This window comes from Homo sapiens, chromosome 8 (assembly GCF_000001405.40).
Source record: "Homo sapiens chromosome 8, GRCh38.p14 Primary Assembly".
NCBI lineage: Eukaryota > Metazoa > Chordata > Mammalia > Primates > Hominidae > Homo > Homo sapiens.
Genome location: NC_000008.11, coordinates 95,161,426 through 95,176,433, shown reverse-complemented (window position 1 = coordinate 95,176,433; position 15,008 = coordinate 95,161,426). Strand labels below are relative to the sequence as shown.

The 15,008-nt window shown below is 42.7% G+C and overlaps 1 long non-coding RNA gene across 1 annotated transcript in view, besides 2 other annotated features; it reads right to left on the bottom strand.

The window, feature by feature from the left end:
- LOC124901982 (uncharacterized) overlaps window positions 1–15,008 on the bottom strand; it is a 29,564-nt gene that overhangs the window by 11,293 nt on the left and 3,263 nt on the right. The gene's annotated exons all lie outside the window — the stretch shown is intronic.
- Window positions 780–1,029: an enhancer, noted in NCBI's record as "active region_27649". NCBI's record gives its function as "activates an Ori minimal core promoter by ATAC-STARR-seq in GM12878 lymphoblastoid cells {active_cell/tissue: GM12878}" and the evidence as "EXISTENCE:reporter gene assay evidence [ECO:0000049][PMID:35858748]".
- Window positions 11,155–11,204: a silencer, noted in NCBI's record as "silent region_19384". NCBI's record gives its function as "represses an Ori minimal core promoter by ATAC-STARR-seq in GM12878 lymphoblastoid cells {active_cell/tissue: GM12878}" and the evidence as "EXISTENCE:reporter gene assay evidence [ECO:0000049][PMID:35858748]".

Here is a 15,008-nt window from a genome sequence, read left to right as displayed (position 1 = left end):
AAGATGAAGCCTCCAGGTAGCAGACTTCAGGGAGAATAGATCGTAAATGTTTCTTTTCTTTTTTTTTTTGAAATGGAGCCTCACTCACTCAGGCTGGAGTACAGTGGCATGATCTCGGCTCACTGCAATATCTGCCTCCCAGGATCAAGCGATTCTCCTGTCTCAGCTTCCTGAGTAGCTGGGATTACAGGTGTGTGCCACCACGCCTGGCTAACTTTTGTATTTTTCAGTAGAGATGGGGTCTCAGCATGTTGGCCAGGCTGCTCTTGAACTCCTGACCTCAGGTGATCCGCCCACCTCAGCCTCCCGAAGTGCTGGGATTATAGGCGTGAGCCACCATGCCTGCCCAGTTTCTTATGAGACTTAAATAGTCTGTTCTATCAGTAATTCCAAAAGGGAATAGGGCATAACGAGGCATGTCCAGCTCCTCTTTCCCATCATGGCCTGAGCTAGTTTTTCAGGTTAGCTTTGGAATGCCCTTGCCAAGAGGAGGGGTCCGTTCAGATGGTCAGGGGGCTGTGAATCTTATTTTTGGTTTACAAGGTAAAAGTAGAAAAATTATCACAGGAGAAAGCTAATAGGGAAAATGGAAGATGCTGGTAGTTAGAGAATTGGAAGCTTTCCAGCAGAGGGGGACCCTGTCTGCAATCACGCTGGCCCCCTTCCACCGTGGGCCTGCACAGGGAGCCTCCTGCCCTTTCCAGCCAGTCTGGTCCAGTTTGTATAATGTGAAACGAGGTTCATTTAAAAAGAGAGTTTCACTGAGTGTAATGGCTGAACAAAGTATCAGTTCTTGTAGCCCCAGGAAAGTTCAGTAGCCCACATTTAAATAAGCTTTTCAACCTTTCACATTCATGGTTAAGTGAGCCAGTTGATGATGAAACAACATACGGTAAGCCAAAAGAGGTATAGGTTTTGTGTGTGTGTTTTATTTCCCAGTCCTGTAAATCAGATGCCCACTTTGCCAAAGTGAAAGACAGAGGGTGAGGTGTCTTCTGTCTGTCAGCGCTGTTTCATTCTGCTCAGCTGAACACAGACCATCACCAGACCTACAAAAACACCAGGCAGGTGAGTCTGTCTTTTGAAACATCGCTAGAAACTATTCCAGTTATTCTCCAAGAGAATTGCTTCATAAGTTCTGTTTATTTTTTTAAATGAGGTTATAATGCATTTCTTGACAAAATACTTGACAACAGACATGAAGATGGAAAAGTCTAAAAAAAGTGAAGATTTCCTCTTCATCTTTTGTTTTTATGATGTTTTTCTTCCTCTTTTAGTAAATCAATAGACAGAAGTTACCAGGAGGCTTTCTGAGACCTTGTTCTTGGCTCATTTTTACATCTCAGGTTCAAATTCCACTTCTATTAACTTTTAAAACATCTGGTTGTTTGGAGAGAAGAAATAATATTATCACTTCTGTAACTAATAGCATGGTGACCTTGCAAAAAAGAAATCAACATGGAATATGCTGACCATCCAGACACAGTTCTGAGAACTCTATATACCCCGTCCCTCTCTTTAATTTGGGCAGAGCTGAATTTGAAAGTTAATGCTTAGCTGCGTCTTCCTGCCCGATTCTCCAAGCTTGTGCCTGCATGCTGGCCAGAGGAGTGAGCACTGGGGCAGCCGGGTTGAGGAAACAGTAACTGGAGGGTGGGATCCTCGCCGCCCCGGCATGGTTTATTCTGTGCTATCATGCAGAATGAAGAGGGCTGCTGGGGACACTAGTTACTCATTCACCACTCCCACTGGGACCTCGCTCGGGCTCAATGGACTGTGGTGTGATTATTTGTCGGCGGATTCTGCCCACGTCCCTTCAGCGTAAACACTGGCATCTCTGAAGCTGGCTTTGTCTCCCACCCCATTGTCGGGTTCCTGCTGCAGTTCTGCATTTTGAGGTCCTTAAAGAACTTCATAAAGGAGAAGAGACAAGAAAAGGGACAGTCAGACAGGACACACTGATTGTACTATTCTAACCAGTCCATCCAATTCCAAGTAGGTCCTGCATCTTGAAGAGATAATGAAAGGTTAAGATGCAGCTGTGCCCCTTTGACCTGCTACCTTATCCTGAGAGTATTATGATTAAAAAAAAAAAAGCCATTTGTAGGTTCATCGATTGTAAAAATGGACCACTCTGGTGCAGGATGTTCATAGTGGGGGAAGATGGGGGGTGGCAGGGACAGGGAGTGTATAAGAAATCTTTGTATTTTCTGCTCAATTTTGCTGGGAACCTAACACTGCTCTAAAAAACAAAGTCCATTAAAGACTAAAAGAAATAAAAAGATATGAGGAAATCTCCCTACTCAAAACAGTTTCATAGCCCAACCCCAAATGTTCTGTGGGGATGAAATAAAATGAGATGATAACTAACAATAAAAATATTCTTTATCCTCAGGCAGCAGCAATTTGCATGTAATTTAGAATGCAAGTATTATGTTAAAAACTGAACATCTTAGTTGTTCCCATTAATTAAACATTTGCTGTACTAGATCAGTCTGCTCTGATTGCTGATTGCTTTATTTTCATAAAAACAACTATGAGGAAAGTGCTGTTATCATCCCTGCTTTACAGAAGAGAAGCAGGCTTCAATAAGTTAAGAAAATTGCATCAGCCAGGAGCGGTGGCTCACACCTGTAATTCCAACACTTTGGGAGGCCAAGGCAGGGGGCATAGCTTGAGCCCAGGAATTCAAGACAAACCTGGGCAACACAGTGAGACCCCATCTCTCCAAAAGATACAAAAATCAACCAGCTACTTGGGAGGCTTCAGTGGGAGGATCACCTGAGCCTAGGAGGTCGAGGCTGCAGTGAGCCTTGATTGCACCACTGCACTCCAGCCTGGGCAACAGAGACCTTGTCTCAAAAAAAAAAAAAAGTGTCAAAACAAAAAATAAAAAAAAATTAAACAAAGTGCCAAATCACACTGCCAATAAATGACTGAGCTGGGAAATTAGAATAATGCAATAGAGGAAAAATTGAAGGAGGGGGAAGTCATTAAATATGATTTTACCTAAACACACCTCCAAGATGATAAACATATAAAATTTTTTTTAATTTAAAAAAAAAAAAGCCCTTACCCTTACCTCTAAAGAGTAAACAAGCTGTAGCTGACAAGCTTAGAGAAGGGAATAGACAAAAAAGTAAATAGAAGGACATAGAAAGTGAGTATCATTTTCTAAACAATATATAATTAGTAGGAGTTAGCAGGTGTTTAAAATAATTCTACTAAAAAAATAGAAGATATGTTTGGCAAAAGTAAGTAAGTGGTGGGAAGAAAGTACATAAAAGAAGAGAGAAGTCTGTTGACGGACTGAGACAATCTCATTTAGATGACTTTTGTATTGGAATTAATTGGTTTCAACAAAATAATAATCTATGGTGGCATTGACCATGCAAATATGCTTTTAAATTATTTAAATACAGTTATCCGATTACAATTTAAAACCTCTAGAGAGTTTTTTGTTTTCATGTAGCATAGATGCCACTGTCTGCCCTGCTCCCTCTGAGCTTAGTCCAGAGTAAGCTGGGATGAAGACTGACCCTACTGTCGCCTCAGTTAGCCGTGGACCATGGGCCTCTGGAAGGGTGAGCGTCTCATTGCTCAGTGGCAAAAGAGATGTGTGTTTGGGGCACACCATGGCCCCTAAATGCAAACCAGTGACTTCCCCTAGTGCTTCCATGAAGAAACTGTCACCTGTCCAATGCGGGAGGAAATGCTAGTTGTTTTGTCTTCCTGAGACACTATGCCAGTCTCTTCCTAAAATATTTTCAGTGGGAGGCCTTCACTTTGCTACATTTCTGCCCTGTGTGCTATTCTAGAATGTAGCCCTCATGTATGGATGTCATGATGAGGGAGGGTGCCTTTCCCCTCCAGGCCCGACGGCACCCAAACACCAGAAACATCCACACCTGTGAGATGAGCCCTTAGGAGAAGCTCCACCCAATGCCAAGTTCTCCTGCTTTCTATTCTCATCCTTAAAATATTTATTTTAAAGGACAAATCTTCATTTCTGCATTCTCCATCAAAATTACAACAGTGTTTCAATTATCCTGATTCACAGATGCAAACCGAGTAACTGGGAGGTCAAGAAATGTGGGTTCTGGTCCTGCTCTGTCTCACTGCCTCTGCATGACTTCGGGCCAGGAGAATAGGATGGATCAGATAACCTAAGGCCCCTCCAGCTACAAACTTTATTATCATGTCTGCACAACACCTCACAGCAGGTGGAAGCTGGAATTACAGAGAACTCTTAAGTTTCAAATTCTGACTTTGAATCTGACCCAGGACCAGTTCACTCTCATGTACAAGAACGCACACACTTGCATGCAAGCACACAGACACACACATATATCGATGGCCTGTACTCCATTTGTCATCATGCAGGTTAAGGAACTCAGACCACAGAGATATACAATAAGAAAAACAGTCTCTATTACTGTATTGGGCTCCAGAATGTAAACAAGTGGCTTCTAGTAAGATGGAATAAGACTTTTAAAATGAGAAGAATGAACAAGCAAATGTTCATTCAACTGGAGAGTGACCACTGGTGAAAAATCTTGTAAAATAAAGACGTTTGGCTCCAACTTGGAGACGATGGTCATGAAAACATTGTAAGACAAACTAACGATCAGGAGGTCAGCAAAAATAATCTACCTATTACCTATCATGGGACTGAACTTCCCAGTCTATATAGACTCCTGTTTTTTTTGTTTGTTTGTTTGTTCATTTTTTGAGATGGAGTTTCGCTCTTGTTGCCCAGGCTGGAATGCAATGGCATGATCTCAGCTCACTGCAACCTCCATCTCCCAGGTGCAAGCGATTCTCCTGCCTCAGCCTCCTGAGTAGTTGGGATTACAGGCATGTGCCACCACGCCCGGCTAATTTTGTATTTTTAGTAGAGACGGGGTTTCTCTATGTTGGTCAGGCTGGTCTCGAACTCCCGACCTCAGGTGATCCACCTGCCTCGGCCTCCCAAAGTGTTGGGATTACAGGCATGAGCCAGCATGCCCGGCCAGACTCCTGTTATTATCACAGGAGAACAAAAGGAATAAAATAGTGATGAGTTAATATTAAATAGTTTTGTCAACTTCCATCATGGAGAAATCCAGATAAATTCAGAATGTTTAAACAACCCAAGGGTCAACAACTGAGAATTTCACATCTAATATTCACCGTGTGAATTCATTAGTCTCCGTAGCTCTTCAGAGCACTAAATTTTACCTTAGGTCCCTACGTAGACCTTTATTTTAGTTACCTTTTAATTCTCTAGTCTGTCCTCCTCTTTCTGAATTACTTTTCCCTGGAATCTTTAATTAAAGAAGACAGAGCATGAATAAATTTACAAATCAAGAATAATGATGTCTCATTTAAGGATTTTCAGGTGATGTGGTCACTGCAGCATCAATGATGCACATATATTTGGTTTCTAAGTGATGCAGGATCTGAATCTAAATTGCAGGAGGTTTATGACAGTTGATAATCATCATTTATTAAAAGGAAGCATAACAAACAGCTACTATACTTATCTGTTCACATCAGATGCAAAAAAGCCAAATGTACAAAAAGATCCATTCCTTAGTACCTGTGTTACTGTTCAGATGTTCCTGTGGTATAAGCCTGGGCAGACCTTAGTGTTCTGAAGTTTTCTCCCTCTTCTCAGCACCTTCTCTCTCTGTCTCTCTCTCTCTTATGTCTCTGTCTCTCTTCTCTCTCTCTCCTCTCTCTCACCTATCTCTCTACTCCCATCCCCTTATTTCTCTCTCTCTGTCTCTAGCTCTCATTCTCTCCTATCTTTCTTTCTTTCTTTCTTTCTTTTTTGAGACAGAGTCTCACTCTGTCGCCCAGGCTGGAGTGCTGTGGTGCGATCTCAGCTCACTGCAGCCTCCACCTCCTGGGTTCAAGCAATTTTCTGCCTCAGCCTCCCGAGTAGCTGGGACTACAGGCACACATCACCACACCAGGCTAATTTTTGTATTTTTAGTAGAGACGGGGTTTCACCATGTTGGCCAGGCTGGTCTCGAATTCCTGACCTCAAGTGATCCGCCCACCTTGGCCTCCCAAAATGCTGGGACTATAGGCATGAGCCTCCGCATCTGGCCTCTCTCCTAGTTATCTCTCCTCTCTTCCCCTGCCACTTTGTCTCTCTTTCTCTCTCATTGGGTATCACTTCTGACTCCTCTGTAGCTCTCATCACTTTATGTTCTCCGTGCCAGGAATGTCCATGCTCCTGGTCTCCTGCCTGGTCTGCCCTCAGTCCGCCCTTCTCGCTGGCATCAGGGAACTCTCATTGCGTCACATCTCTGCATAAAGTCTAAAGTCCTGAGTAAGTGCTGCAAGGCTTCTCATAATCTGGCCCCACCTGACAGGCAGGCACTCTTCCACAAACACTGCATCCCAGCGGCACTGACCTACTTAGTTTCTGGACCCTGGTATCGTGAAACTCCCTCTGTGCCTCTGATCATGCTCTTTGTTCTGTGGGAAAATCATTCCTCCTCAGTCCAAGGAAGGCTACCTCCTTCTAGAAGGCCTGGAGTCCCACTCTACCTCCTCCCATGCACTAGACGACTTCTGGAACTCATTCTTTTAGAAAACTTGTAGCCAGCTAGTGTCTCCAAACACCAAATTCCCATTTTCTTTAGTCAAGGGCCAAAATGCAGGCTTCTCAGGTCATCTCTTTGGCTACACTCTAACATCCACAAGAGATCTGATCTTCCTCGCCATTCACCAACCTCTCATTGCTCCCTCTCTGCATAACCTTTATCTGAGCCCTCTAGAACTTCATTCCATGGTAAAAATCTCTCATCTGAAGCCATATCACCAATGGGTCCTTCTCTCCACCTTGCTCATCCTTGCAGGGACACTGCGTCTCCCCTGTTCTCCTCTCAAGGGGATGCCACTTATTCTCCCTCACCCCACAGACTGCACCTAGGAGTTGAGAGAAGAACCACAATGTCAGTTCCAGGTGACATTTCCTCTATTCATTCAGGCTGATGCCAAACCAGCCTTTACAGTCCACATTGCCAATGTCAGATGCCAACCTCCAGTCATTCCTCCTCCTCATTCCGGAAGCCTTTGGCAACTTGCCCAGTCTTCCTTTTCACACCAGGTCCTTTATAGCTTCAAGATTTCAGTTCTTTGATCTCAGAGGAGTGTCCTCTCAATGACACCTAAACCACCCTTTCTTTCACCACTCCCTGGACCTTTTCACCATCCACAATTGCTCTATCTCTGAAGCCTTTAATCCAGTCTACTCAGATCTCAAGCTACCACCTTTCATTCCAGTGACTGCTACCACACCTGTATTTTATTTCAGCAAGAGGTTCAATATCTTGACTCCTCTACTTTCTCCTTTTCTATCAACCCCTTCCTGTTTTTACTTCCTTCCCTATCAAACCCAGACTCCACGGTGCATCTGTCTTATAAATCTCTTTAACTCCCCTGCCATGTACATTATCTTTACATTGCACTCCCCTGGCAAATCCCCAAACCTGGATAACTCTAGCTCCGCCACCCCCAACTCCCACTTCTAAACTTTGGCTTCAAAGGGAATTTGCATAAATGCCTCTGGATCTCATGGCTGGGCAAGTACAAGTTCATGGTCTCCGACTGCAAGGGCCCCCAGGGCAGACCAACAATCCCTCTGGGTATCCCGATCAGCTCTCCCTGCCGGTCTCCATGGCAGCCAATTCAAATTCTTCCCATTCCTCAAATCTCTTGTCCCACCACTTCTTTCCAGAGTATGGAGGGAACCATACTCTGTTCCTTCCAAAGAATATCACACTCCCAACTTCATAAGGAATGAGAAGTCGTGGGAAGGAAGCTGTCCCTGTCTACATCTATACCCTGGTGGTTTTCCTCCCTCCAGGCACAATGGAAGTGCTGTTTTTCCTCTAGTATTCCCACCTTTCCTGCCTCCTTGGGCTCAAAGATCCATCAGTTACCCCCCACCTCAACCCCTCTCTCTCCACTGGCAGAGGGGCTCACTTCCAGAGATTTGCCCTCTGACTTTGAGGATGGCATTCCTTAAAGAGATTATTCCACTTCTGTGCTGTATTTTTTGAAATTACCAGTTGGTCACAGTCTTGGCCCCCGCTGACCCAAAAGCAAGCCATAAGCTTTTGGCTTCTCACTTCATAGGAAACATAGTAGATATAAGTAAACAGATTCAAATTGCTCCCAAAGAAAAGTTAGTAGAAACATCTTCCCTCCTGAGAGGCAGTGGAAATCAATTTGAAGTTGGCCTAATGTTTAGTATTCTCAGACTTGCCTAGGAAAAAATTGCGAGTAACCAAAGTAGGAGAGCAGGAAAGAGGTGATAAGGAGTGGAAGAAACATTCTTCACCTTTGCTAACACGGTCCATCTGTCACTTCCAAAGCTCACTTTAACAAGAAAAAACCTGCTGACTCTTCTTTTTGAGGATATATGAAAATCAAGAAATGGCTCTTGCGAGTGGCTTGAGCAGTTCAGCAAAGGCAGAGCACAGAACAGTGAAGTGGCACAGATGTCTTTTCAAAGGGAAATCCCTACCACTGTGGGCTTGTCCTTCTGGCACTTGGAACACGAGGCCGGACGGGCCACCCCTCCTGTCACACCCGCAGGGCCCACCCGTTAAGCGGGAGCAGGTGGCCAGGCGTGCCTTGGCACTTGCACTCGGAGAATTGAGTATCAACAAGCAGCAGGGCTTCATTTCTGCTTCCATTGCCTGCTTTAAGAAGATAATGTAGGCCACAGACTCGAAGGCACTTCTCTTTCTCCTAAGAGAGTATGCTCAAGTGGACCCTTTGATCAAACTCAATTCCACCAGAAATTATTAAGAACCCACCATATGTCAGGCGCTGTGAGCTGCTGGGGATAACAGGATGGACAAGGCAGCTCCCAGTCCTGAATGGGTCCCAAAGTAGCCTAAGGAGGGGGCACAGATAAAGCAGCACTAATACAACAGGAGCCGAGCTCGCCCAGGGTTTGAATGCGGCTCTGCAGGGAAGGGGGTGTGGAGGAGGCAAGGGGTGAAGAGGCGAGCGCGGGAAGGCTCTCAGAAGTGGTCACATCGGAGCTGGGTGTCCTCCAAACTTCCAGTGCCAGGATGCAAACCCCAAGCTTTCTAAGTTCATTGTTCTAAGAAGAACTGGCAAAGGCTTGGAAACAGCTACATCTTTAGATACATAACGTCCTAATTAGTGGTTGTCCTCCAATGCCAAACAAAGCAGCCGAGAAGCCGGCTTCAAAGCAGCTCTTCTGATGACAGACTAGGACACAGAATGACTTTAAATGAGAATGAGCCCTGGCTGAGCTACATTTTGGCTAGCTTCCCAATTATCACCATTGCTGGCATGTCTAATTTATTCACTCAGAAAAGTCCTTTTCTCTGTCATCTTAGAGCCAGCTAAATCCTTCTTCAGGTCCCCGATGGAAAATATTAACAAATTCATTAATTAAAAGATGCCTGTAAACTTGACCCTGAAAACTATCATTCTGTTTTAATTCAGTAAGTGAGCAAGTTCTTGAATTCAAGTCAAGTATTTCCTAGCAGGGCTGAGCTTCATCTAGGACTGGAGCCTGACTTTATTTTTAAGCATGGGTTACTTTAAAAAATATTCATCCTTCAGAATAGAATTATAACATTATAGTTCATTCTAGTTTGGGACAGTAAACTTGATGTCTATCTTGAGCTTTAACTTTCATTCCAGCTTTTATTTTTTATTTTATTTATTTATTTATTTATTTATTTATTTATTTATTTATTTTGAGACAGGGTCTCACTCAGTCACCCAGGCTGGAGTGCAGTGGCGTGATCTTGGCTCATTGCAACCTCCACCTCCCTGGCTCAAGCCATCCTCCTGCCTCAGCCCCCAAAGTAGCTGGGACTATAGGCGCACACAGCACCACGCCCAGTTAATTTTTGTATTTTTTGTGGAGACAAAAGGTTTTGCCATGTTGCCCAGGCTGGTCTCGAACTCCTGGGCTCAGCATTTTTGAGGCACCCAGTATGTACACAGTAGGCTGTCAAAACTGAGCTCTCTCTACCACTTTCAATCCCCAGAACCCTTCTTCATTTTCTATCACAGCACTTAGACTACCTGACATTGTATTATAAATTAGAACATAAGCTTCCCAAGGGCAGAAACTTCAAACTGTTTTGATCCCTGCTATAATCCCACCACCTAAAACAGTGCCTGGCAAGGAAGGAAGTACTTGTTCGAGGAAAGCACTTGCTCCCTCACGCAGGTGAATGAATGAGCCAGGGATTGTGCTGGGATGTAACTGACAAAAGGCTGCAGAATCTAGTAGCATCTACTCATTCCATATAAAAGGAGTTGAGAGGTCCCATTCTAGAATGGGAAGGAAGACATTTGCCTAAAAGCTGGTTTGCAAGGCCAGCACATTGTTTCTAATTAGATCATGATTTAGGCTGATTTGTTGAGAAAAATGGATCCTCAATTACTGCCCTCCCATTGTCTCACATTTACTAGTCAAGTCCCATTTACTAGGGTAGACAGACATGTAAATGGACACATTAGGATCAACATGGTGGATGCAAAACATACATAAATTAAGTGCTAGGCAAGCCTCAGGAGATTAACAACCAAATGGGGAACACAGATGAGGCCCTTTGAGCTGGGGCTTACTATAAAAGTAGGAATCTGCCAGTGTTACTCATTTGCTCAAAAATCTTTGGTAGTTCCTTCAAACACACACAGGGACTTTCTTGACTTTGAATAGCCTCTTTAACTTAGACACTGGTGCATGAACTCTGGAGCCAGACTTCCTGGGTTCACATCCTGGGCCTGCCCCTTATTAAATATGAGACCTACCTCTCTATGCCTGTGAGTGAAGGATAATAATATTATACCTACCATACAGGGTTCACATAAGAATCCAATTGACTTAATAAATGTACTTAGAACAGAGCCTGACATACAGAGTGAAATTGAGTGTTAGCCCAGGCACAGTGGCTCATGCCTGTAATCCCAGTACTTTGGGAGGCCGAGGTGGGTGGATCACTTGAGCTCAGGAAATCAAGACCAGCCTGGGCAACAATGCGAAACCCCACCTCTACAAAAAAATATAAAAATTGCCAGGCATGGTGGCACACGTCTGTGGTCCCATCTACTCAGGAGACTGAGGTGGGAGAATCGCTTAAACCCAGGAGGCAGAGGTTGCAGTGAGCTGAGACTGTGCTACTGCACTGCAGCGTGGGCGACAGAGCGAGACCCTGTCTTAAAAAAAGCAAAGACAAAAAAAAAAAGATAAAAAACTACCAACTATGATCTAAAGGCAGTTCTACTTTCCACCATAGACAGTGAGAGCAACTGGGACTCCAAATAAAGGCCTATACCAGAGAGAAGGCCAATTTTAATAGTGCAAGTAAATCTTGCCCCTAAAACACCAGCATAGCTTTTAATGTAAAGGTAAATCAAATTGAATGATTCTTAAATCCAAAGCATGGCTACACAGAAGCAATGAAGGAGCAATGAATGGACTCTTGGCCCTGTGCAAGAAACTCCATAAGGCTCAATAAGTAATAATAATAAATGTTTTTGTTTTTGAGACAGAGTCTTGCTCTGTCATTCAGGCTGGAGCACAGTGGCACAAACTCGGCTCACTGCAACCTCTGCCTCCCAGATTCAAGTGACTCTCCTGCTTCAGCCTCCCAAGTAGCTGGGATTACAAGTATGTGCCACCACACCTGGCTAATTTTTGTATTTTTAGTAGAGATGGGGGTTTCATGATGTTGCCCAGGCTGGTCTCGAACTCCTGACCTCAAGTGATCTGCCCGCCTCAGCCTCCCAAAGTGCTGGATTACAGGCACAAGCCACCGCACCTGACCCATTATTTGTTTATAAAGTGTTTTAGGCAGATCTGACGTGGCCTACCACCAACCCATAAATTGGAATGGTCCCGTTTTTCTTTCAAGATTCTTACTGCCATATTCATTTAATTAAGAATATCCTAAATGTTTGTTATATATCAAAGCACATGAATACTTTAGAGAGAAAAAAAAAAACATATTATTTTTGGTCCTAAGAAAACAAATGTTTATTCATTTATCCAAATGTTATCAAGCCATTTTTATGTGCAAGCTGCTGGCTTATAATGTATTTTAATGCACCATACTTTTGTTAAAGGGCTGGCAGCAAGAAAAAATAGCTACAACTGGCCAGGTGCAGTGGCTCACGCCTGTAGTCCCAGGACTTTGGGAGGCCAAGGAGGGCAGATTACCTGAGCTCCGGAGTTCGAGACCAGCCTGGCCAACATGGTGAAACCCTGTCTCTACGAAAAATACAAAAAATAAAAATATAAAAAGAAATAGCTACAACTAAGCATAATTACAAGGTAAGACAGAACACATTGTCAGAGGGAGTATGTCAGCTCTGAAGGAGGGAGGACAGCTTCAAGTAGGTAGTGTCTGAGGAAGGAGAAAACGGGGTAAATACACAAGGGTTGCATAAGCACTGGCACTGCCATGAGAAGAACAGTGTGAGCAGGAAACAGAGGTGACAACACTTCAGAGCATATTCAGGGAGCAGCAATGGTTCCAATTTGCCTGAAACCTAGGTGTACAGTGAAGGAAAATACTGTACAAAATCTGATTCAGGTATAACATCACAAAAACCAAAGTATGAGTTTAAGGATGCAATTCAGCCTTGGCAACATGGTGAAACCCTGTCTCTACAAATACGAAATAAAAAATTAGCGGGGTGTGGTGGTGCATGCCTGTGGTCCCAGCTACTGGGGAGGCAGAGGCAGAGGATCACTTGAGCCCGGGAGGTAGAGGCTACAGTGAGCCAAGATCATGCCACTGCATCCAGCCTGGGCAACAGAGTGAAACCCTGTCTCAAAAAAGAAAAAAAAAAAAAAGCAACTTCAGACATTTTTCCTCATTCACTTTTGCAAACACATATTACCTCTAAACATTTCAAGAAAGTTTTCTATCTTAGGTATAAACAGTTAATTAAATTTTAAAATAACATCTTTACAATGATTACTATAACCAAAATAAGTGTCTATAGCCAGAAAACAGAGACAACATATTCATGACAATAATCACAACTAATTTTATGGAGCTTTTCATTGATAAAATATAAATTTTCCCTTATCCACCATAGGAAAAATCCACATTAAAGAATGCTTTTAACTTCCTTTTTCTACTTTACAAGTAACCCAAATATCACATTCCTAGCACCTCATGCTCTCTAAACTGAGGTAACTCAATGAAACCTCAGTTGCTGTGTACAAAATTAAAACTTCACAAATAGAAGTGAATTTAATTCCCTTATAACACATACATATATATCATGAGCATAGATAATAGTTGTACACATTACATAGCAGGGAAGCTCCTGGTGAAAATAAGGAATTACATTAATCTACCATTTAGCCTAGACTCTACAACTTGCTTTGGTTAAAGTTAAGATAATTTGGCATCTTAGCCAAGTGAAAGCTGCTTTTAACGTTTTGCCATTGATTCTTTCTGCTTTGAAGACCTTAAAAGCTACCATTAGGTTGATGCAAAAGTAAATGCAATTTTTGCCATTAAAAGCAATGGAAATTACTTTTGCACAAACCTAATACTAAAATATTCCAAATCACAGAAGCTATTTCTAAATCACTGCATGTAAAATATTAAATCACTGTAAACTTTATGATGTTACCATTGACACTTCCCTATTATGAAATATACATTTCAGAAAATCAGTAAAAACTTTCTAAGTCATTTGTTTACGTTCACACAAGGCATGCTTTTCACACTTCTATTCATACAAAGGAACAGGAAACACCTTGACCTTTATTAGCATAGGCCTCAGCGTCTATGCTCAGAGATTTAGATGTTAAGACATCCACCAGATTCTTGCAGATGTTTTTCTTGTAATAAAATATTTTTAAAATTTAAGTTATCTCCCAGAAATGCTTTTAAAAGATAGAAGCCTTTGAAATTGGGAGTAATTACACCTCAAAACCAACTACATGTTTTATTATACCAAGTTAAAAGTAAACTGGTTTTCAAAAAAAACAAATTTTTCAAATGTAATCTCTTTTAAACTAATTATCCCTGTTTGCTGTTTTTTTCTATTCTTCAATGACACAGTATTTTGTATAATTATTATTATCACTATGTTTTTGAGACAGGGTCTCAATCTGCTGCCCAGGCTGGAATGCAGTGGCACAATCTTGGCTCACTGCATCCTCAACCTCCTGGGCTCAAGTGATCCTCCTACCTCAGCCTCCCAAGCAGCTGGGACTACAGGCATGCCACCATATCTGGCTAATTTTTGTATTTTTTGTAGAGATGGGGTTTCGCCATGTTGCCCAAGCTGGTCTTGACCTCCTGGGCTCAAGCAGTCTGTCTGCCTCATCCTCCCAAAGTGCTAGGATTACAGGCATGAGCCACCACATCCAGCCTGTATAATTATTTTAACTATCAATATTCCCTTTGTACTTTAACATGTGGATAACGAAGTTTTTCTTTACAGATTTTTTTTTTTAAATACGCCATGATTTGCCATACTGGCCCAAAACACAAATACAGAATTGTATACAATAGTGGCTACTTATTTTTCACATCACAAAAATTAATTTTCAAACAATTTCTGGAGAATTGTGTACTTGACTTTTGATTCATTTCACTAAAACTCTCTTAAAAATCCAATAAATTCAATTCATGAATTCCTCATCTAAATCAAGATCCTAAGTCTCCTCCTTCCAGCATGTTTTAGGTCTAAAAACATACAAAAATTAGCCGGGTGTGGTGGCAGGTGCCTGTCATCCCAGCTATTCGGCGGAGGCTGAGACATGAGAATTGCTTGAACCTGGGAGGCAGAGGTTGCAGCGAGCTGAGATCGCACCACTGCACTCCAGTCTGGGAGACAGAGTGAGACTCTGCCTCCAAAAAAAAAAAAAAAAAACAAACAAAACTCTCCCTTCCTTTCCTTCTCTTCCCTTCCTCCCTTCTTCATTCCCTCCCTCCTCCCAGGTGAATTTGTTTTAAAAATATATTCTCCTGGCCGGG